The 24154-nt window shown below is 36.4% G+C and overlaps 1 long non-coding RNA gene across 1 annotated transcript in view, besides 4 other annotated features; it reads right to left on the bottom strand.

Moving 5' to 3' along the window:
- The window catches only part of LOC101927995 (uncharacterized), a 119590-nt gene extending 104393 nt beyond the window's left edge, over nucleotides 1–15197 (bottom strand). Inside the window, exon 1 of the long non-coding RNA XR_427323.4 lies at nucleotides 14049–15197. This is a non-coding gene — a long non-coding RNA (uncharacterized LOC101927995). The remainder of the gene's footprint in view (nucleotides 1–14048) is intronic.
- Nucleotides 9697–9991: a silencer, noted in NCBI's record as "tiled region #15230; HepG2 Repressive non-DNase unmatched - State 7:EnhWF". NCBI's record gives its function as "represses a minimal TATA promoter and a strong SV40 promoter by Sharpr-MPRA in HepG2 cells {active_cell/tissue: HepG2}" and the evidence as "EXISTENCE:reporter gene assay evidence [ECO:0000049][PMID:27701403]".
- Nucleotides 15311–15455: an enhancer, noted in NCBI's record as "145 bp enhancer 299 fragment used in the MPRA reporter construct; PK_construct_3200". NCBI's record gives its function as "activates an SV40 promoter by MPRA in HepG2 cells {active_cell/tissue: HepG2}" and the evidence as "EXISTENCE:reporter gene assay evidence [ECO:0000049][PMID:23512712]".
- Nucleotides 15374–15391: a transcriptional cis regulatory region, noted in NCBI's record as "GATA motif; enhancer activity is reduced when this motif is scrambled, but it is unclear which activator is functional in HepG2 cells". NCBI's record gives its function as "necessary for full MPRA enhancer 299 activity {active_cell/tissue: HepG2}" and the evidence as "EXISTENCE:site-directed mutagenesis evidence [ECO:0005528][PMID:23512712]".
- Nucleotides 21686–22885: an enhancer, noted in NCBI's record as "CDK7 strongly-dependent group 2 enhancer chr3:30383595-30384794 (GRCh37/hg19 assembly coordinates)". NCBI's record gives its function as "activates an origin of replication core promoter dependent on BRD2, BRD4, P300/CBP, MED14 and CDK7 cofactors, with strong dependence on CDK7, by STARR-seq in HCT116 cells {active_cell/tissue: HCT116}" and the evidence as "EXISTENCE:reporter gene assay evidence [ECO:0000049][PMID:35650434]".

Below are 24154 nucleotides of genomic sequence, written 5' to 3'. Positions count from 1 at the left end.
AGAAATAATGCCGCATATCTACAACTATCTGATCTTTGACAAACCTGAGAAAAACAAGCAATGGGGAAAGGATTCCCTATTTAATAAATGGTGCTGGGAAAACTGGCTAGCCACATGTAGAAAGCTGAAACTGGATCCCTTCCTTACACCTTATACAAAAATCAATTCAAGATGGATTAAAGACTTAAATGTTAGACCTAAAACCATAAAAACCCTAGAAGAAAACCTAGGCATTACCATTCAGGACATAGGCATGGGCAAGGACTTCATGTCTAAAACACCAAAAGCAATGGCAACAAAAGCTAAAATTGACAAATGGGATCTAATTAAACTAAAGAGCTTCTGCACAGCAAAAGAAACTACCATCAGAGTGAACAGGCAACCCACAAAATGGGAGAAAATTTTCGCAACCTACTCATCTGACAAAGGGCTAGTATCCAGAATCTACAATGAACTCAAACAAATTTTCAATACATTTTAAAATCAGCTTGTCAAGTTTTACCGGAAAAAAACTTACTGTGATTTTAATTTGAATTGTGTTAAATGTGTAGAACAATTCTTAGAGAACTAAACTTAAATAACACTGAGTTTTTCAATCCATGAAATTGGAATCTATTTCTATTGAATTAAGCAAATCTTCAATTTTTCTCAGAAGTGTTTTATAGTTTTCGGTGAACACATTTTGAACATATTTTGTTAACTATGTCCATAAAGACTATTATGAGGGCTGCAATTATAAGTTGTTCCCTTTCTTCTCTGTGTTTCATTTTGAACAGTTTCTGTTGCTATGTCTTCAAGTTCACTGATATTTTCCTTTGCAGTATCTGATTGCCATTAATTCTATCCAGAGTATTATTCATATCATACATTAAAATTTTCATCTTAGAGGTTCAATTTCAGACTTCTCTTACTGTAGCAGTACGAGCCGCAGACAAAACTCCTCAGACACTGAGTTAAAGAAGGAAGGGGTTTATTCGGCCAGGAGCATCGGCAAGCCCCCTGTCTCAAGAGCCAAGCTCCCCGAGTGAGCAAGTCCTTTCCCTTTTAAGGGCTCACAACTCTAAGGGGGTCCACGTGAGAGGGTCGTGATTGATTGAGCAAGCAGAGGATATGTGACTGGGGGCTGCATGCACCGGTAATGAGAATGAAACAACAGGACAGGGATTTTTGCAATGCCTTTCCATATAATGTCTGGAACCTATAGATAACATAACCGGTTAGGTCAGGGGTCAATCTTTAACTACTAGGCTTAGGTCAGGCAGGCCTAGGCCTGGTTTCGGGTCTGGTTCCTAGGTTTCGGGTCTGGTTCCTAGGCGCCGGGCTATCTGCCTTTAGTTTTGCTTCTCTTTCCTTTTCTGAGTATAAAACAATATGAGAGGGTCTGTCTCTCTTCTCTCAATATCTTACATGTCCCTGCTCAACTTTCTAACATCTGGAGAACAGTTGTAATGATTGTTTTAGCATCTTTTTCCAATAATTCTACCATCTTTGGCAATTATTAGTTGATTTTAATTAACTTGTTTTCTCTCAATTATGAGTTGCAATTTTCTACCTCTTTGCATAGTTGGTAATTTTTATTTTTACAAGGTTAAATTTTTGTTTTGAAATAATTTTAGATTTACAGAAAAGTTTTAGACATACTACAAATGTTTTCCTTATACTCTTTGCCCATTCTTTCTTTATTTTAGCATTTACTGTAACCATAGTACAATAATCAAGAATAGAATAATACTATTAACTAAAGTACAGGTCTTATTTGAAAATCACTAATGTTTTTACTTACATCTTCTTTTTTTCTTTTTCTGGATCCTACCCAGGATCCCACTTTACACCTACTTTTAAATTTTCCTCCAATCTGTAATATTTTCTCAGTCTTCTTGTCTTTCATGACCAAGACTCTTTTGAAGAGTGCCAATCAATTATTTTAAACTATGTCCCTCAATTTGGGTTTGTCTAATGCTTTCTCATCACTGGAGCTATGCTACAGATTATTGTCAAGACACCACAAAAATGATAATGTGTCCTTCCTATACAGTGGTTCATGATGACAAAGGTCTTATTCCATTGATTACATGAGTTATGTTTTTGTCTGTCAGACTTCTCTTCAGCAAGTTCTTACATTTGCCTTTGTAATTAATAAGTCTCTTGGTGAAGGTACTATGAGACTACGCATATCTTGTTTCTCCCCAAATTTTCACTAACTAATGTTGCCTTGTCTGCATAATGTATCTACATGGTGTTTCCATAATGATGATTCTTTCTGTTATTCTACATGTATTAATTTGAATTCAGCTGTAAGAAAGAACTGTCTTTTCTCCCATATTTATTTATTTATTCTGTTATTTATCCATATCAGGATGAACTCATGAATATTTATATATGGGTTAAAATCAAATTTTGTTGCTAAAATTTGTCTACTTTTAGCCATTGAGAGCTCCTTCAGAAGGGCTCCTATGTTCTTTCATCAAGATTTCACTGTCCCTTATCATCTTGAGCATTTCTTACTTTCTGGCATCACATAATGTTCCTGGATCATTTTATATTTGCCCTTCCCCGACCCTGAAATTAATCACTTCTCCCAGGAGCTCTCATACCTTTTATTTGAATAAACGTTTAGAGACAAGAATCTGGATTTTATATACTCTCATTGTTATTGGGATGTCATTGCTCTGATCCTCAAAGAAGACAGAGCTGGGTATTTTATGTATACATAGTAACCCACTAATATACTCATATCTATATTTTGATATGAGTATGTATATTAAAAACCATGAGTTGACATTGTTAACTCTGATACTAATCTAATACCATGTGGTGTTTATTTTAGGCTTCCCCTTTTCCTTCTTTATAAATTATTTTGCTAACATTAAGAAACCTTGGTTCTCATTATCTACAATCTATTTTTTTGTTCAAGTCTAGTATAAACATAAGTAGTTTCAGAATTGCTAAACATTACTGTTTTTAAAAATTACTAGATTACGGTTTTTATGTACAATTATTTTGTCTTCAGCCTTGCAATATCCTGGCAAAATAATCCTGGCAAAATACAGTTTTCCAAAAACTTCAGATAATTCTTTTTTCTCACATACACTTCAGTGTGATGATGTTATTTACTCGTAATACAGTTAGGTTCATTTGCTAGTGTTTGTATTCTATTTTGGGTTACCCTCATGTTTAATTGCTTTTAATTATTTGCTTAATTTGGGGTAGTTGAAGGGTATATGAAACATTGCTATGGATCTAAGAATAAGTTATATTGAAGTCATAGTCAAGAAAGTTTCACTCTCTTGTCATCCCTGCTACCTCATTCTTATCTCTCATTCTCACGCCTTTCCAATAAACCTCTGTAGGTAACCAATCTCTTTAATTTCTAGTTAATTTTTCCTGATTTCATTCTTCAGGAATGAAGAAAATGGAGATTCATGATTAGGCAAATGAGCAGACAGTAGTACTTTATTTTATATTTCTTTCTTACATAAAGTATCATCTAATATAGACAATTTCTTTGGGCCTTACATTTTTTTACTTAGAAACATGCCCTGGAAAACATTCTGTATAAGTTCAAAGCAGTCTTTCTCATTAAAAAAAAAAGTGACAGCTGCATAGTACTCCATTACGTTATGCCTGGTAATTTTTTATTACCTCTCAAACATGTCCTCCTTTGCCCTGTTGCCCAATGTTTGAAAATTGTTTCGTGTATTTTTTGTTTAGTTTTCTAGTTTTTATGGTGTACAAACAAGTCCAGTTCCATTTACTCCTTCATGGCCAGCAGCAAAAGTTTGTTCCCTTCAACAAACTTTTGAGGATTTTCCAAGACTGTAATAAAATAACATATATTTGATTACTCTATTTTTAAATTTGTGGCATGTTGACATAAATTCACCTGCTTGATTTTTCAACTCTCATTATTTGTCATTATATAAGATAAAATAGTTCTATATAAAAATACAATGTATGATAATTTGTTTTGTTGGGATAGAGGTGCTATCATTTCGAGGACTTTCTAAGTGTGATTTTTTCATTTAACTTTTTGAATTTCAAATATATTAATCTGTGTCAAAATCCAAAAAATTTTAAAAAGGAATTCAGCTAAATATTTCTCCTTTATCTTTTCTCCATTTATCCAGTTGCCAACCCACAAACAGGTAACCCTTGTTATTAGTGACTTTTGAATCCTTCTATAGATACTTTATTTTTTATTCAAGGCAATACAAATGTAAGCTCCAATATTTCTTATGTTATAAAATAGAATATCTTAGATGTCTTTATGTATCAAAAAATAATATGGAATGATAGCTATAAATGTTAAAGGAAAAATACTTTTCAGTAATTGTCTGCCAAATTATTGAAATTATCCCTAAAAGAAGAAAATATAATTTTTAAGCAAAAAAAAAGAGATAAATTTGAGAACCAATTATAGTGTCTTTTAAATTCAAATAGCCATGATAAATTTGGCAAATAAAATATGACTTCTCCACCCTCACTTGGGGATCCTGATTAAAATAATGGTGTTTCTGAATTGAAAGAACACTCAATAACCAAACCAGTACTAGAGGGGGAACTCACCTCTCAGCCTCTTTACATTCTGCCTTATTCTGGACATTATTTCAGGTAACAATGCCGCAACAATATTGAAGGTTAAAAATAAGCAAAAGAAGAGTAAAAAACAAGATTAGGTTTAAGGGTAGAAGGGATGAGATGAAAACCACAGAAGTCAGCATGGGTCACAATTTTGCCTTTGAGTGTTCTGAAATCCATATTTGAACATTATACCTCCTTAAGATAAAAACAGACAAATTTTTCAGGAGAAGTACAGCTGGTTTAGGAGCAAAGCTCTGATAGGGATTTCTCCTTGGGGTGCTTTATTATAAGGAAGACAGCATGAAGTAATGACCAACTTCTTTATTAACAGATACTATAAATCCACTTTTGGTGGCCTTTGGTAAGCACGGCTGGTTAAGAGCCATCATGTGTTTGATTATTAACCTGTGGAGGTTGACATTTTTTGTCTTCTGTTGAGTGCTGATCTGGTAAAAAGACATTGAACAAAAGCTCATCCATAGGTGGTAATATTATGAAAAGACAAAACACATGTAAGATTAGCGATCAGCCTCAACAAAATCAGGAGGTCTGTTGAAGGGTGGACAAGAATAGACGATATTTGGAAACCACAAATATCCACAAATAACCACCCTTTCATGTGGAAACATATTTCTAATCAATCTGAACTATTTACATGTGGCATGTAAAGAGACTTTTGAGAAGCATTTGATGATATGATGAAGAATTTACTACATTTAGAGAAGATGGTTGGTAAAGTACCTTATCTAGGGTAGTTAAAATACAACACACACACACACACACACACACACACACACACACACACACACACAGAGCATACTTTTATAAGTACAAAGGCATGCAATACAGATCCAAGTCAAAAGACTTATCTTTTTAATTGAAGTAATCAGGAAATCAGAATGTAAATAGAACAATAAAAACTGGTCGGTATGTAGATATTGAATTTGAAAGGAGAAATTTTATATGATCACTGTTATGGTGAACCAGAAAATTTTATTAATAGTAGAATAAAGAAATCAATTATAGTATATTCATTGTACACACCACAATACAGACAAATCTCACAGACATAATGTTGAGTGAAAAAAAGAAGCCAGACATGGAAGAATACAGATTTTAAAATTTCATTTATATAAAGTTCAAAACCAAGTACAATTTAACTGTGTTAGAAATTAGATCATGGTTCATTGGCATATGTCCTCTGGGGCATGGGTGGCAAATTTAGCTCGAGTTGAGAATCACTGATATGGTTCATAATTATAACAAAGAAGTCTGGTAAGGCAGTATGTGCCGTATCCCTGTACCTAAAACATACACCTAGTAGATGCTGGGGAGATGACGAATTTTATGGACTTACATTTGTTTAATATTATGAGCAATGTCAATGGCATGATTCCTGTCTGTCAAAAGAGTTACCAAATTCATCAAGTAAAAAGTAATTGATTTATAACTTCAGCAATTTCATAGAGCTAATTTTAAAAAACTCTTAAATCTCCAAAAAAAAAGTTAGATCATGGGTAACTTTGAGGTACTTTGACTGGTAAAGATACTAGCAGGACTTCTGGAGGTTTGGGTAATATTGTCTTTCTAGATCTGAGTCGTAGTAACGCGAGTGTTTGCTTTGAAAAATTCATTGTATAGTTCGTTGAACTGCACAGTTATGTTTTCTGTAACTTTCTGTATGTCTGCTATAATAAAAAACAAACAAGAAGACCTTATTTTGAAAAAGAATAGATAAAAATATTCAAAAACTCAGTTTTTAAATCAAAACATGTTTTTAAATTAAAAATAATGCAACTGTTTATCCTACAGACAATGGGAAGCAATGTTAACTATTGCATTAGAACTTTGAACAATATTCTACAAATTTCCTCCTCTAAAAAAGACATAGTGAACAAAAGGGCAACTACAAATAGTTTCTGGGTGTTAATTGAGTAATTTCAGGTTAATTGCATATTTTTATGTGTTTTTTACTGTTAAATGGGAAACCAGATGTACTTATCACAGTAAAACAATAAGAGATATTTAGGACCCTTTATGAATAAAGAGGTTTTAGGTTTTGTTTACTGTTATGTCTCCAGTATCTAGAACAGTGCCTAGCATATAATAGGTATTATATAAATATTTATGGATGACTGGCTGAGAGAAAATAAAAGAATGTTGTGGCTCTCTCAACATAAAAGGATTATGTTGTTGCTAAGGTGTGGCCAATATTCTTACTTCATGACTATTAAATGTAGTGTTACAATTGTAAATTAAGTCTTAGCCTCCTGGGTATTTTTGTCACTCTAGTTGCCTTGGGAACTGAGATGGAGCAGAAGAAAATAACATGGGCAAAAGCATGGGTGTGGGACACCCTGGTTACATGTGGGGGAGAATGAGTAAGTAGTTCCTTTTGGCTGAAATGTCAGGGTATTAGGGATTTAACGAGGGACAGTATTAGAAATCATGTCGGAGTTAGGATAAGAAGATGGAGTGATATTGAATATTAAGCTATGACTCTACAACTTTTATTTGAACTCACCCATGTCTGCATTTCACAGATTCACTTCCCAATGCCCTAGTGAAAGCCAATGAAATGATCTGGTCCCATGACATTGTCTGCAGAATTTTCTCGCAAACCAGCAAAATTTACTCTAAAACATATCTGAGTATCTGGAAGACATCAAGATTTTTTTTTTAGGTATCTGTTTGCTATTGTGTAATAATGTTTGAAGGTATGAATCAGTGCTGATCTATTCATTCAAAATAGATCTGCTTCTCTTTGGGTAAATGTCTGAAGGCTGTGGGCAATTGGAGACCCATCCTCACTTAGTCATAAGGCAACTGCCTGAGTGTCTGTTCAAATTTCAAGGCTTTTGTGTCAGCCTTGCTGTGTTCTGGCTGGCTTGGCACATCTTGACAAAGATTAAAAATTATGGGTATCCATAGAATGCCTTCTGGAATGCCTTGATTTTGTGCATCGTAATGAAATGAATCATACACATCTAAACAAAGGATTTTAAAAATGTAAAGCAAACAGTATAAGCTCAAACGGTCCCCGTTCCATTGAGCAGTGCTGAATATGCAATTACATTTTGAACAATAGGTATTCATAAATCAGGCAGAATACTCATGAGAAAACAGTCCTTTAATTAAATAAAAGGAGAATCAGTGTTTCTTGTTGCAGGGATTTTTGGTGGGATTAAAGGATTGTTCTCGAGCCCATCACACATGAGAAGCCTGGCTGGCTGGCTTAGAGTTCTACAGCCCCCACGTGCCCAGATGACCCAAGCTCTAAGACCAATCCAGCTTTGCCAAGTAGGAAAATTAAAACAGGCTTTGACCATTACTCCCCGTTCTGTGCTGATCTTGTCAGGCCCTCTGTGTAGTGCTGTACAGTTTGAGCATTCTATAAAGGCACTGGGCCAAGTGGGCAAGTGGAGGCAGGAATCCAACCCACATGCTGCTACCAAGCTGTGCCCCCTTGTAGCAGGACTGTGTCTGCCAAAGGACTGCCTCATTCTAATTCATTTAAAGATGTTCTGTTAACCCACAGGGGCCTGCCTAGCTCTAGTATACAATGTCCTCTGGGGTTGGTGACCCTCCTGCTCAAATATAGACCTAGTGTCACAGTATCAAACACCCAGTGCCAGGACTCTCTGAGGTGGATATCTGTACCCCCTTGAGCCATATGCCCAAGCCAGATGCTGACTGATTGTCTCTTGTCTGAACACTCTTCTTTCTCTGAGACTTGGAACCTGCTGTACTGTGAGGTTCTGCCTCGTCTCAGGGTCTAAAGAGCTCCACTGGGCACAGTCCCTTCCATTTGGCTCGTTGTTCTGACCTGGTTAGGTTGGACATTGGGTTTACTGTAGGTACAGTGAAGTTCCATAATGTGAACATTTAACGCAAAAACCCAGCTATTAGAGGTCAGCAAAGAAAAAGCAAATGAGAAAGTCAACTTAGTTTTCTCCTGTCATTCCAGTGAATAAGTATAAGCTTTAGGGTGAGCATATTTCCCATAGTGTGAACATTTTGATGTACTAATTATGATTCTAATTTTTAAAATAATATACATATTTATATATAACATGGCCCATAAATGCAAGCTGACAATCTCTTTTCTGGTACTCAGCTAAAGAAAGCATGATTTTTTTAATGCTGGGGAAAAAGGGAGGTCAGAGATGGAGCTATCTTAGAAAGATACTGAAAGCTATTCAGAAATTGGGATATTTTGTTAGGTAATTTTGACTACGCATAATTTTTTTTCTTAAAGTATCAGAGCCTGCACCTTGGTGCAAAATATGAATCTGACGTAAAGACTTTGAGGTTTTTATGTAACCATTCTCCCTGGAAGTGCCCTTGAAGTCCTTGTTCCTACCTCTCCTAGGCACATTGCTGCTAGGAGAGAGACACTACTTCAAATCTCCTCTCAGGATCATCCTTGCTGCCAGCACTTTGTGCAACAAAAGCTCTGCTCAGCAGGGTGTGGAATGTGTACAGGTTCTTTATAAAACATCAGGGAATGTTTTCCTTAAAACACTTTCTTTGGGCTTAAGATTGTAGCCTTGTCTGAAGTTCTGCATCTGGTATGGGTCAGAAGCCTAGTGAGCTGGAACTACAGTAGACCACAAAGGATAAGGAAGTCAGAGAAGCAGAAAAGAAGAGTTGAGTAATGCCAGCCATGCACCATGATCAATGAAAGGAACAATCTAGCTTCACCTCAGTTATTCCGGACACAAATAAATGTCCACTTATAAACCTTTAGAGCTGGATTAAGTTCAGGTCCAAGTAATACATTAAATTTAATAGGTGAGTGCTTGCTCTATACCAGGCATTCTTCTAGCATGCAGAAATTTATGAAGGGGCAGCTTGTCCTTCCTTGTCATTTTAGAAATAGCAACACTAAAGCCCAGGGTGGCCCAGACTTATCCAGTTACACCTAAGACACTGGCAAATGACTGAAGATAGGATTTGTTTGCTAGAAATAATTGATAAACGTCTTCAATACCATCAAGTGCTCTCCCTTACCATCATATCTTTGTGAAATTCTTATAATAAGATAAAATGCTTTCAGTGTTTTAAAGGATACCAGATGAAATAAATCTTACTCCAGTTCACCAAGACCTACACACAGCTCTCATGAACCTTTAGAACAGAGCTGTGCAAATAAAGATTCACATTTCACTTGGAGCATGGCCAAGAATGATGGAAAGTAATCAAAGAGCATTTAGCGTTTATTGTGTGTTCCACCACACCGTGCTGCCTCATATGTAACTACATTCAAAACCATTGTTCCTTGGGATTCTCTACTGAGAACATTTAATCGTATACACGGCTGCTGTCAAGTGGCTGTTTCAAAGAGACCCCTCCCCACGCCTAGTCAAGTTAAAGCGAATCCCTCTCAGTCCTCGCTGCTCATAAAGCACATAAAAAAATTAAACTCCAGCTTCCTATCTCCAAGTGCTTAAAGACTCCCAAGCAAAACCTCCTTTTTGAAGTGCTGAAAGAACAATTGGTTCTCAGAAAGTAGATCTGCTGCTGAAAGGCCAACTGACTACCTCAATAACTGCAGTGGAGGCCTCCTGGAACCCTGGGAGCCTGGGCTGAGCTCCCTCTTAGGAAAACAGCCCCTGCACAAGCCTGGCTCAGGGGCACATAGACTGGGAGAGACTTTCATGACTCTGGCAACTCATGCTCTCTAGTTGCCGTGAAAGGTCAGGCTGGCCTTGGGAAGTGAAGCCAAGAATAGTTTGATGCTTTTCCACTGGGAGGTTTGGTCCCCAGAGAGGACTATTCTTGGAGGGAATACATAGTTTACAGTGTCCAGGCAATGGGGGCTGGGGTGTTTCTTGATAATATCTGAGTGCCAAGGCAGGAACTGTGTCCTATTTGTGTAAGAATCTTTAGCATCTCACCTAGTGCCTAGTACATAACAGGATCACAGTGGGTGCTTTTGGAGTGAATGAATAAACAGAACGTAGTTAATCCCAAAATAAAAGAGATCCTCTAAATTTCTTTGCACAGAGTTCTTAATATAGTCAGTCACAGGGACTGCCTCCTGGTTCTAGCTGTCAACAAAACTGGGCCTATTATGAGCATGGCTCTGCATCCTTCATCTTGCACAGAGCTGGTACACTGTGGACCTTTAACTCACCTCAAATGATAACCACAGGAAGTGGTATACCTGCTAATGCACATGTCAGGAAGAGGCTCAGGGCTGTGGTTTCTCTGTGTGTGTGTATTTTTCCCCAAGTAGGTTTTTAAAATTCAAAACTTATGACTTGAATTTGATATTTAATAAACCAATAATATTAACTCTCTTTCTTGCCCTGTTGTATACAAGAATAGTGCTCTGAGATTATTTTCATCTGGGAATAGAGTTGCACTATTGCTATTGGGATTAAAGCCATAAAAGTGATTTTGCCTTTTTGTAGGTGATTCTATAAATAGATCATGGAACTGTAACCATGGAAGGCTCTTCAGAGGGATAAACCTGTGAGTGTGATCACATTTACAGTTATGCAGGCATGTGTAGGCATGTGAAAATTACAGCTTTTAACATAATTCTCAAGTGATATAGTCCTGTTGTATTTTTGCTGAGAATGTTTCATTTTGCTTCTTGATTCAGATACACTTATTAGGATTCCTTAGGCCAAAGGTTGGCAAGCTTTTTCTGTAAAAGACTTGCTCCTAAATATTCTATGTTTTGCAGGCCATATGGTCTCTGGTCTCTTCTGGGGCTACTCAGCTCTGTGGCTTGAGAGCAGCCACAGACACTACATATATGAATGAGCACGGCTGTGTTCCAATAAAACTTTATTTATGGACACTGGTTTACTAGAATTTTATATAATTTGTATGTATCATAAAATATTATTCTTCTAAATACCTAATGTAAATGACGAGTTGATGGGTGCAGCAAACCAACATGGCACATGTATACCTATGAACAAACCTGCATGTTGTGCACATGTACCCTAGAACTTAAAGTATAATAATAAAAAAAAAACCAGGCCCGACTTTAACATAATAAAAAAAATATTATTCTTCTTTGGATTTTTTTGGCCCTTTAAAAGTGTAAAGTTATTCTTAGCTCATGGGGTACACAAAAACAGGAGGCATGCTAGATCAGATCTGAGGGCTGTGACTGGCTGACCCCTGCCTTGGACTTCCTCAATAAAACTACCCCTGAACTTCATTTGCTGACTGATTCCATTTAGATGTGTCCATGGTAATTTCTACCACCTGGGGTCAAGCATTCACTGGCACTGTTCTTGGCTGCCACTGTGCAAATAGTCCTACCAGTCAGACACCTGGAATTTCTGTCTTTTACTCCCATTTTTAAAGTAGAGTCAAAAAAGGCACTTTGGGCCAGGGAATCTGGCATAATCAAAAGGACCGGATCATACAACTTAGAAGCACAGAGAAGTTAACTTCTAATGGGGCAAACTTGGACCAATGAAACAGGAGATGGGAAGGAGCCAAATTCTTCCTTCCTCACTCCCATGGTAACAGTTTCTCATACACACTTTTTTGAGGCATCCTGCCTGAATGTTTGCATCTGCTGAATGATGTGTTATGCCTAGCAATGTTCTGCATCTTCTGGCAATTTCTTTCTATAATTTCCTGTCTCATTTTCCTCTTTCTGTGCTTTTGTTGCCCTAGGTTTGTACCTCCTAAATAAAATATCAACACTTAATCCTTGCCTCAGGCTCTCTTCCACAGGGAACCCAGCTGAGACACTCTTAAGAACACATACACATATTCACTAAAAAATTCCAGTCCAAAAAATATATATATCTACAAGTAACCTTGCTCAAAATACATGGCAGGGATTCCAAATTCAACTAGAGCCAGTTAGCTAATGTGAATTCATGAGACATTAAGAAGTGGTGACAAACTAGAAACCCATGTTTTATTTAAAGAGAGGAGTCAAAATTCAGGTCCCTTGATGATATTGCAATTCAAGAGTGTGTGTTCAGGATTCCCAGCTCTTTCTATTTTTCAAGAGCAGTTAGTTTTCAATCTGGAATACTGTGTGAATTGTTCTTACTATTAAATGTTGAAAACTAATTTTAAAACTTTAAAGTCCATGTGGAGTTAAACATATCTATCTGTGGGCTGAAGGTGGTTCAGGCAACTTTGAGCTTATAGTCTCAGGAGGAGAATCATACACTGCAATGATTACAAAATGTGAGAGAAGCAAACAAGGAGAATTAGGGAGAATGTCCCAGAGTAATAGGTGTGTCTCAAGTATGGCTCTTTTATTTTGTCAGTTCCCCAGGAAAATGAACTAAGCATTCAAAGAATTAATGTATTTAGATTTCAGGACTCTGCTCTGTTTCTCAAACTGTAAGGATGTGGGCTCTGATTTCTGGAAAAAGAATGCACTTCCAGTCATGGAATGGCTTTTATGATATGTACAAAGATGAGAAACAGCCATTGACATCGTCTTTTCCCAGTCTCAATTCAGCGTTTGATTCTTCTCTGTAACATCCTCAAAAGGAGTCTTACTTGCTTGAAGACCTTTGCTCAAAACCATTTAAAGCATTTTATTTCACATTTACATTTTATGGATATGAATATTATATTTGGCTTACATTTACTTTTTCCCCTATTTTCAGCTGTTTGAATTTATATTTATCCCTAGGTAATATATTTCAGTTTTTCCCTATACTACTTAGAAGTCCTTTAGTATTGAAAACAGTTATCCTATCTCACAATATCTTTCTTCTTTTAGGCTAAACATTCTCAATTCCTTCAGCCATTCTCCCCAAGACATGATTTCAAGTCTTTTCACTGTTTTCTTAAACTTGACTGAACATGCTGCTGATTATCTAAATCTGTTTGGTCCTAAAATCATAAACTGAAAAAATATTATAGGTAAGACCTGATTAGTGCAGAGTAAAATTGAATTATCAATTTTTGTTTTCAAGATATTCAATCTTGATTAATTTAATCTAATACTGCATTACCTTTTCCGGTCACAACCTCACACTACTGATGCCCATTATATTTGGCTGCATAGGAATTAGTATAATAGATTCTTTTGAATTTCTACATTTTTCTGAATTCCTTTCACACCTACTCTGTTTCATATTTCTAACCATATTTTTCCCTTGCTCCACTTTTACCATCTAGTTATTTTGTTGTAGTGTACATATTTTGCAATCTGCCGCAAATACTTTTGGAAATGAGACAGAGCATAAAGAATATATAAAATACAATAACCAGTCATTGTTATTTCTCAGTCACAGGAAACAATGTTATTTTCATCAAATCAGCCTGGATTAAAGATTCACATTTCAGTATTCTTTTGGCAGCCTGCCATTCATATTTGTTTGCAAAAGTGAGTCTCATGGAGATGTCCGCTAGGTAACATATTGTTCTTCTAACTACACACAAACACACACATACACACACACACACTTATATATGTATATATAAATATATATAGATTGAAACAGATAAAATGAATATACCTTCCTCCAAACATTTAATTCAGAATTCTCAAGGTTTCCAACTGTCATTTTCATTGCTTCAGCATGGGTATTTATTGCCATCTGCTCCTGTTCCATTCTTCAATTTTACAATTATATTTCCCTGACAACTTTGTCAGAAATCTCAATTGTTCTATCTTGCCTCTATCAAATCATCCAGTTAGGTTAACAACCAGGTCAATTCCAGCACAAAGAACATTGGTGGGTTCACTTCTACTATTCAGATGGTATCAAGTTGGGTTTGCCCAGAGAAACAGAACCACAGGAAGTGATGTAGAATCAATTGTTTATTGCAAATATTTTACTTTTCCCAATTATGGGAGCTGACTAAACAGTTTATGTGTGGCTGTTGCTTCTATGTCTTGCATTGGAGACTGAAGTTAGCAGAGCAGGACATCGAGAAGGAAAGACAGACATGAAATGTTGGAGAGAAATGATAAATTGGAATTCAGGGGGACAGGCTGGAAATCACAGAGGCAAACTGTTTTTCAGCCTCTGTCTTGAAGCCTCCAAATTCAATGATGCCAGTGACCTGCAAGAGAAACTGCTTTGCTTCATCATGTTGCTAAACATGTAACTGACCCAGGAGCTGGAGAAACTGAAGGAAGCAAATCTGGTGAGAGCTGATGAAGCTGCATGCCCGGCTTCTGCTCAATGTCAATAATGTGAGCCAGAGAGCAGAAATCACTTGGTGAGCTGCAGTGGTGCCTGTGCTCTGCACTTTTGCCTGCACCGATCTTCAGTGCTTTAAAGGAATGTGATTGACGCTTAACTTCAGCCTTCCAAATCCCATCATGTGTGTTTCTGGTGGCCCACGCTAACCTGAAATTATGCAGAGACAGGGATCCTGGGAAACATAGCTCCTGCTTAGCTAAATTTGCACAGTGCAAATCTACCATACAAACTCATTTTTTTTACCCTAGAGTCAGTCTGAATTCATAGTTCTATAGTTTTTTTCTCTCATTCTAAATCTTTACCAGGTTCCTGAGGTCCACTCTTCAGCTCTGTTTTGGGGAGCACAGGCCTGATGGCTCTTCCCTGGCATTGCAGACACAGATTCAGAAAGACATGCTGTGGAGGATGGAAGGAAAATGCCATGTTGGAATCACAGCCTTCCCCGGATTAGGTTGCTTCTCCCCTTCCCCACTTGGGGCTGCAGCATGGTTCTCATTGTAGTTTCCAAGTAAACCGCCCTTACTTCCTGGCTTCCTCTAATCAGGGTGGCAGGGGGATGTGTCCACCTCTACAGCAGCCTTCCTGTGTTGACAACACTGTTTGTTCTTCCCATCTCCCTAGGGAGAAGCTGCCTTATCTTTTCCGTGCAATATGTTTGGAAAAAAACACATTTTTCTCTCTTAAAGGAATTGATTATTGTGCTTCTCAAGACTATAAAGAGAATATCTTCTGGACCCAAATACTGGCTTTAAAAAAATAATCTAGATTCCTAGATTATTCTTAGATTATTGCAAGAGAAGGGGATATTTTGGTGATTATTGGTAGTGCATTTTGAATCACTCTATGCACTAAAATATGGCATTTGAGTATGTGTGTGTATGAAAAAGAGACAGAGAGAGACAAATACGAACAGATAGATACAGATAGAAAGACGAAAAGAAATAATTTTAAGTTTTTTCCAATATCTTGACCTAAATCCCAAATTTCTTGTTTGTGCAGCTTCCTTGATCCTATACTGCTAGCAGTATAAGAAAGACTTGCCTGTATAGGCAGTTCTCTCCTCCACCCCGCATGCAATATGGATTAGTTAAGGAGCTCAGGGTTTTATCGTAAACTTTATTAAGCACTTGAATGCAACTAAAACTCAAAATTATCTCTGCACAGAAATTATTTGTTTTGGGGGTTCCTAAGCTAGGTCCATTGGATTCTGACAAAGCCTATTTAAGAAAAAAAGAGCCCTTAAAAATATATTTGTAATTGCAAGAAAATTTGTCATTAACTCTGTGTTACAAGTGTCTTTGTCAGGTGGATTCCTATCTTCCCTTCGATTTCTAACAGAAGGCAACAAAAGCTATCAGAATTTTCTCTTAATAACAGAATTCTATATGCATGACTATTGGTCTTTTTTCCTTCCTTGGTCTTTTCTGAGCAGTTAGTTGAGGAGAAGGTTGGGCTAGCTCTTGATCTTTCACTGATTATAATAATGTACTGTTTCATTTCCCTCCAAACATTGCATTGTAAAGTGAGATTATATGTTCATTTTCACTTTTGAGACAATATTTGTGAACCACAATCAGTTGTGTGTTTGTCTGCACATGTGTGTGTTTAGTGTCTTATTGTCCACAAAAACATTTTATGTTCTCAGTGTTAATTAAATAGGCATTTATAGAATTAATTTACTATGTTAAAAGTATTAGATTCTATTTGGAATTAGAGATGAGTCCTTAAGAATTTCCTAAGTTAGCAGGTGAGAGAGTGATGCAATTAACCAAAGATGCAAGTAGAAAGAATTAACTGTTTAAAGTAGGGCCAAACATAATATGTTTTGGGAGCTTAGAGAAAGAAGGAATTAATTAATTGATTACAGAATTGAAAGAAGCTTTATCAAGGTTATACTGAGATGAGTTGAGCCGTGAAAGATAAGTAGAAAGGAGACAGATAAATAAGCTTGTCTAAAGGAACCATATCAGCATTGTTTGGACCAAGAGCTCTTGTTTTTGTTTTTATAGTTATTTCTTCATGATCATTTTTTTTTAAGAACATTGCTAGAACACCACTTAGGAATGTGTTTGCCTGTTAAGCTATACATCAAAACACAGGATAATCTGATGTCCATGATCTAATACTCAGAGCAAACAAATATTAAGCAACTACTCTTCACCAAACACTTTGTGGGGATTTTCCCATTTAACCTTCCCAAGCAAGGGGGATACTGTAATTAAGTCTACTTGAGGCTTCAAGGGGTCAGGTGACTTGCAAAAGATTTGTCTAGTAGGTGGTGGAAAAAGAATTCAAAGCCAGGCAATTTTAATCTGGAGACTGAACTCTTAGACATTTTACACTGTGGTGCCTTAACAGAGCAATAGATGGCTGTTGTTCTAACATAGACAGATCTGAAATTTGCTCTGGTTCAAGTATGACTCCTCATTTGTCATCTAGGACATTCATGTTTCCTGGATGTGGTTGTGTGCTAGAATGAGTCAATTGGTCCTCACGCATCCTCTCCATGATCTTTATCACTGGGGCCCCTTTTTCCCCAGCTTGTTTCTATGCCATAAGAATAAAATTCGTGCCCCAGCTCTTTCCTTCAAAGCCTTCTGTTGTTTTTTCTTCTGATTTACATCAGAAATCACTTTAACATTCCAGTGATTTTTATTTCAAGTTTTATTTTCCAACTAAAGAAACATACAGTTTCAACAATCTACAAATCCTAATGAACACCCTTTCTGTTATGCCAAGAATGATGTTTTAAGGTACATCACAATCCCAGCAAGATTTTCTAAGATGTTATTTCAAAATAACATAACCTGCTTTTCTAAGGCTGCATTTTCTAGAAGGTTATCTCAGATTGAATGTCGCTAAGGCCTCAATTTTTAATTTCCTATAATATCCTTTCATTTTGTGTCCTGGATCCTGAATTTATGAGGAAAAAACATGAAACTAGTATTCAGCAATCCTTGTTCAGATCCTGACTCCACTATTTATCAATGGGCTAATATTGTCAAGACATAATAGGAACATAGGTCAGTTCTACTCCAAAGCCAATGTTGCTTCCACTAAACTGCAAAACCTTACTTTGAAAAGACTAAGCACTGTATTTTTCAAAAGTTCCAAGCAGGAAATGGGTTTTCTTTTCCTGTTGAGAAAAATCCCTGTTAAGAAACCCAGGATAATCAAACTACATCTTAACATAATGGGCTCAGGCTTCAATACTTCTCTTTACTAAATAGCATTCATTGGCTACCATGGCCTATGCACCTGGCCCTATATTTTATTTCCTCTGACTTAAGCTGTCCATTTTTCTTGCAGGTGGAAAATTACTAATATTAATACAGTCTTGGACCAGCTAATTAAGTGCAATGAGCCCTCCCAATGGGTGCAGAGCCTAATTGCATTTGCAAGCAGCCACCTGCAGGCATAAACTGTCGGCTTAACACTGCACATGGAGGGGGACAGCCAAATCTTCTAATACTGTCCAATTGTCCCTAAGGATATTGAATTTTTCAGAACACTCTGTGTGTGTGTGTGTGTGTGTGTGTGTGTGTGTGTGTGCGCGCACGCGCGCAAGTACTTGACACTCTGTGTGTGTGTGTGTGTGTGTGCAAGTACTTGATTTGTGCATACAAAACAGGGAATGTGGATGAGAAGGCAAAGAAAGATGGAGAATGGCAATAATCCCTATTCCAACCTAACCATAAAATTCAAACCCTTTGAAAATATATTCTTAAAATCATTACAAATGTATGCTCCCACTGTAGCATCCTAGTTATAATCTCTTCCTTAAAGAAGTTTGGAGCCCAGTTGTATGCCTAAAAATTACCATTAACTTACACAATACTGAACAAGCCAGGGCTGGTTTAAGTAGTATGCCTGCCTGTTAAGTTTCTTACTGAGTCATTCACAATGAAGCTGATTCAGGAAATATGGAGTGAGACAAAGTAAAGGAAATGGTGAAGATATTTCTTTATTTGGAATTTTCCTGTGTTCTATTCTTCAGGAAAAATTTGACCTACTTTGAAAAAAAAAAAGTGAACCTCCCTTGATTTTATTTGTATGAACTGAAGTAAAATACTAACCAAAGATTTTAGGGATTTTTTTTTTTTTTTTGTGAAACATCTTGGGCAGAGTAAAACTATAATTACAACTAATCAGGGTAAAATAATGGTGACCCATTGAGCTGAATATGCTGTAAGTGATCTATGACCTTCTGAATAGAAACCTATCTCCTATCTGAATTGACTTCCTTCTAAATGATAATAAAAAAATCTCTAGCAATCTAGATTGGCAAGATAGGTTATTTATTATAATGTGGGAAGCAGGAGAGAGAATTTGTTTGATAATTGTAGTTTCAGGCTGACAGTAATTAAATACTTCTGGGCCCTCATTGAAGAGAATACATTTTATAAGTCTCTGTCCCAGGAAATCAATATCATTCTTTTCTACCTCTGCCCTTTACTTCATCTCTTGGTTTACTTTTTAGTAATTTTTCTCTAACAGTTTCCTCTTCTTGCTTTCGCCATCTTAGAAGTCATGAAGAGCTCTGATGATGTTACTGGGTAAACAGCCTTGGCCTGAGGTTGAAGCAAGGAAACTCTGGAGTTCAACAAAGACACCAGGCCTGATGACCAACACTGTAACTACTAGACAGTGATACTGGACAAAACAACCAATCTCTCTGGCATCAGCATCATCAGTGATAAAATCAGAATAATGATAATTCAATCTTCATAGAGTTGTTGATAGAATTCAGTGATGTGAATTATGAAAAGCAATTAACTAACATAGTGCCTGACACATTAGAACTGCTTATAAAAGGATGGGAACTTTTACTATCATTTCCCAGGGACCAAATGAACACTCTCTTTCTTAATAGCACTGGAACCTCTGAGCTATCTTGAGACTTTACTTTAGGGAGTAGATATGTGTTATTTTGGTAGTAATTTTTAAACAAGATGTAATTGCATACAATATTCTTAAGAGTTGAGTGTGATTAGCGTATGTACTAATAAGATATATAAATATATACACATACATGTGTATATGTGTTGTGTATATGTGTGTGTGTATATATATATATATATATATTATATATAATTTGAAGAGTAACACCCCAGTTAAGATATAGAGCATTACCATCACCCTAGAATGTTCCCTTGAATGTCTTTCCAGTCTATGCCCCCACCTCCATAGTCGACCACTATTCTGATTTTTATTCCATAAATGAGTCTGCCTATTCTTGAACTTTCATATAGGTAGAATCAAACAGTAAGTACTCTTTTTTTCTGGATTTTCAAGCTCAATATAATGTGTGTGTGATTCATCCATGTTGTTGCAGATGTAGATCTCAGGTCAGGCCACTTATTTCTTTTTATTCCTGAGATATTCCTTTATGCCAATATATTATATTTATTTTTCTGTTTTCTTGTTGTTGGACGTTTGGGTTGTTTCCTGGGTTGTTTGTAACTTTAAAAGTTTATGCCATTTTTAAAAACTTCAAAAGAGATGGTATGGTATAAATAATTTTGCATTAGTTGGCTTTATTCTACACCTTATGAATAGAGTACAAGCATCTAATAAACATAGATGGTAGGCTTCGGAGTGGAACATTAGATTTAGATTCCAAAATGGTGCATGTACAGCCTTAGCTTCCTGGGACTCTTTATTGTCTGACTGCCACTAGAAGGTTGGCTGGCTCCTGCCAGGAAAACATTGTTGCATTTACCCTGAGTGGACCTTTTCTGTGTGTGCCCTCAGAGCACTTAAGAGAACATAGAGCTGTCACTTCTCAAGTTTACTCACCAGGCTATAAGCTTTCATTATACCTATTTGGTAACAAATGTTTGCATAGTGACAGAATTTGGTCTTAGACTCACTTTTATTGCAACCTGGTTATGAGACAGCAAAGAGGCCAATGCCCTCTTATACTACCAACAACAAAAGCACTTATAGTTACCAAAAAATGAATGATAATTATGAATGATAATTGGCTCAATACCTATTGGCTCAATACAGAAATAATATATTTCAGGTAACTTAAGTATAAAACAAAATCATTATAAAGAAATTGCCATTTTTTTTTTCTACTGACCTAACCACCCTCCTACGGCACCAGGTAAGAATTTTTCTGTGCCAAGGGTTTGTGGTTTATACTATCAAATGCACATTAAAATTTAACTTCCCATTTTCAATTAAATAGAATTGAGTCACAGTCAGTACATATCCAGAAAGGTTCACATCTTGTGATGCACTTATAAATCTGATCTTGTAAGTCCCCAAATCATATCTGCTTTCATGCATTTGTTTCTTCATTTCCTGCCCAAAGAATGTTTGGAGGATTATTTTGATCCTACTGTAGTTTAAGACCATGCCCTTACATGACTTAGTTTATTGAATATTTTGCTAGCTTATTTTTATTTTATTTTATTTTAAAGTTGTTAAGAACCAGTGGATTGTTAGTTGAAATATGCAGGGCTGCATTCCCCCATCCCATTACTACCTTTATTTCAAGTGAAAGTTTGCCATTCATAGTGCCTTTGCTTCCTAATGACCTCATTCATACCAAAATTGGGACCTGGAAGCTGAGGCCCGGATTTTTCTCTGACTCAGTTTCCTGTGTTCCAAAAAAATTCCTTTTCCTATATTAATTGTTATTCTTCTTTTGTTAAGACTTAAGTGGTTTTAAGGTAAATTCTCATGTTACCCTCTAATGCCAACTTGAGCTGTTTAAAATATCGGAAGCGCTCCCACAAATGAATTGTGTTCCCACAATTTCCTAGCATCATTCATTGCTCTCATTTCACAGATGCAAACACAAAAACACATCCTTTTGTACATAACAATCATAAATACTTTCCCAAGGTCAGGAATATTTCTGTCAGGAAAGCCCTATTTTACCAAAGAACAGGATGTTTTGATAAACTAAATATTCTGAGAATTATCATATGTACCTATCAAGGTTTCTATTGTGAAGCCTTCTCTCTCTTCACTGAGAAAGAAGTCGGCCCTTTATCTGTCTTCCTTGCTTCCTAATCTCCCACCCAAGAGGTTCAACTATTGGCTTAATGATTCACTAATTGTGAGAGATGGTGATTTATGATATTAGGGAAAAAAAAGGAAGCCTTTATAGTTGAAAAAAAATTAAGATTGTTCTCATGTTTTAATCCTACATCTATTTCTGGTCTGACTCTAGTCTTGCTTTGTTTTATTTTTGCATTTGACTGTCATCTTGATGTTTACTTCGGTCTACTTTAGAATCCTTGTCTTCATTCTGGCTTTTCTGCTTGTCAGTTTTGGGTTGGCTTTATTTATTTATTTTGTTTGGGGGCAGGACATAATCTCTTGCCCTCAGGCAAAATCAGTTGCTGACTCTCCCCCGTTTTTTCTCCAGGGTCTAGGTCACTTTATTAGCATATCTTTCATGTTTAGGTAAGACTGCTGTCGCTTTTTGAGAAGTTAGTAGGTATCCTGTGGATAAAAAGTGATATCAGGCTTTTTTTTCCTTCTCTCTCTCTCTCTCTCTCTATATATATATATGTATATCAAAAATATTAAGCACATGGATATGATTCTTATACGATAATTTGTCTTTCAAAATGATACGAAACACAAGAAGGTACATGCAGTTGATGTGATTATGACACATTGCTCTATTATGCCCAGGAAAGACTGTTTGATGAAGCCTGGATTTTTCATAATTCAGAATCTGGCTCAGCTACCTGGTCTTGTCAACTTCCAAAAGTGACTCACCAGTGACTCAGACTCAGAGGATTGTACCATGCGAAGCTTGAGCCCCAAAGGCTTTGGAGTGAAACAGGCTGGTCCAAAGTTTTAGTTCAGCTGAGATATCCTAAGTGTATTATTTGCAGGTTGAGATTTGATTATGAGAAATGAAGATATCTACCTTATAACATAGTTTAAAGGCAAAATAGTCTAATATATACACAAACACATATAGAGGCAAGATGAAGTAAAAATGGTAGCTGTGGTTGTTCTGAGAATGATTATAAAACAGAATTTGTAGAAAGAGACATATTGTTAAGAGGCTTATATAACTTACATAAGACAAAAATTATATTAGCCAAATTACATTTAGTAACTTTGTTGTATAAACATAGAAGAGCAGAAGCAATCAAATCTAGTATGCAGATTTTCCATGAGTCAGGTTATGACATCCTAATTCTTTCATCTGCACAAGATAATTAGACCTGCCTCCAGGACCACACAGATGGAGACAGTGGAAGGGCACCCTTGATCCAAGGTCAGCATCATCAATATTTCCTTTCAGTTCACTCAGTGCTCTTTCTCACTGACACATGCTTTAGTTATATGATCTTCAGTCTGGGTCTAGGCATGTCTTGCTGGTCGTTGAATTATATGTTTTCTTATTTTTTCTGATGAATTTTTAGGAAAGAACATCTCTTCACACTTATGTGCTGATACAGTTGGGAGACTTATGATGGCAATTATATTTTTTATTAATCACATAGGGAAAAAAGTATAAAGACTAAGGAGTGCATAAAAGCAGGAAGGAGTAGTGTGGTTAAGTGATGGGCGAATGAGAAAGAAAGCCGGGGTCAAGATGATAGAGGGTGAAATATTTGTTGACACTGTATTAGATCCTGTACAATGGCATGGACACTTAAAATACAAAAGGTATATACCTGAAAATTGTTTGCCTAAGCCTTTACCTTATGAAAGTAGATGGAAGAATATGTAACATTGTCTCCAGTTTTTTTTAGCTTTCCTCTTAACTCATCCATTATTATCTCTTTTTGCAAATCCAGAAGCAGGCCAATTTCCAGATATCAATTAACTGAGTTACTATCTTGCCGAAGGCAAATGTGTTTATTGGTCAATTTACCAAACTCCCATTTTCAAAAACTATTTTTGATGGACAACATTTTACTTTCCCTTTCATGACAAGCTGCTAAGGGATCTTCAATATGTCTGCCACTGCTTCCTGCTATTAGCAGCTGGAGAATGACAGGATGAGAGGCAAAGACACAAGAGAGTTGGGACTTAAGAAGATATTTCACCTGAATAATCATGGAATATAAAAATGCAATAAATATGCTATGAATATACTATTTTGCATGATGCGATTGTGTTGATAAGAATTCTTCACATATATTCAATGAATTTACATTTTGCACTATTTTTCTTGGATATCAAGAACTGTAACAATTGTCCACTTGCAGGATTAATAATATATTCTAAAAACAATAAATTCAAAAGAATGCTCTGTGTTTGAGAATATAGTCTTACAATTATATCTTTCATACCCTCTGTAGTATCTGTCTCTTCTACCCTGAAGCTCATCCGTTTCTCAGCTCACCTATTTTTCAATTCCCCTTTCTCTGCTCTCTCTTTCCTCAGCCTCCTCTTTTCTTTGTTCTATAGCTCCAGCTGGAACA

Source organism: Homo sapiens, chromosome 3 (genome assembly GCF_000001405.40).
Source record: "Homo sapiens chromosome 3, GRCh38.p14 Primary Assembly".
NCBI lineage: Eukaryota > Metazoa > Chordata > Mammalia > Primates > Hominidae > Homo > Homo sapiens.
This window is presented reverse-complemented; position numbering and strand designations above follow the sequence as displayed.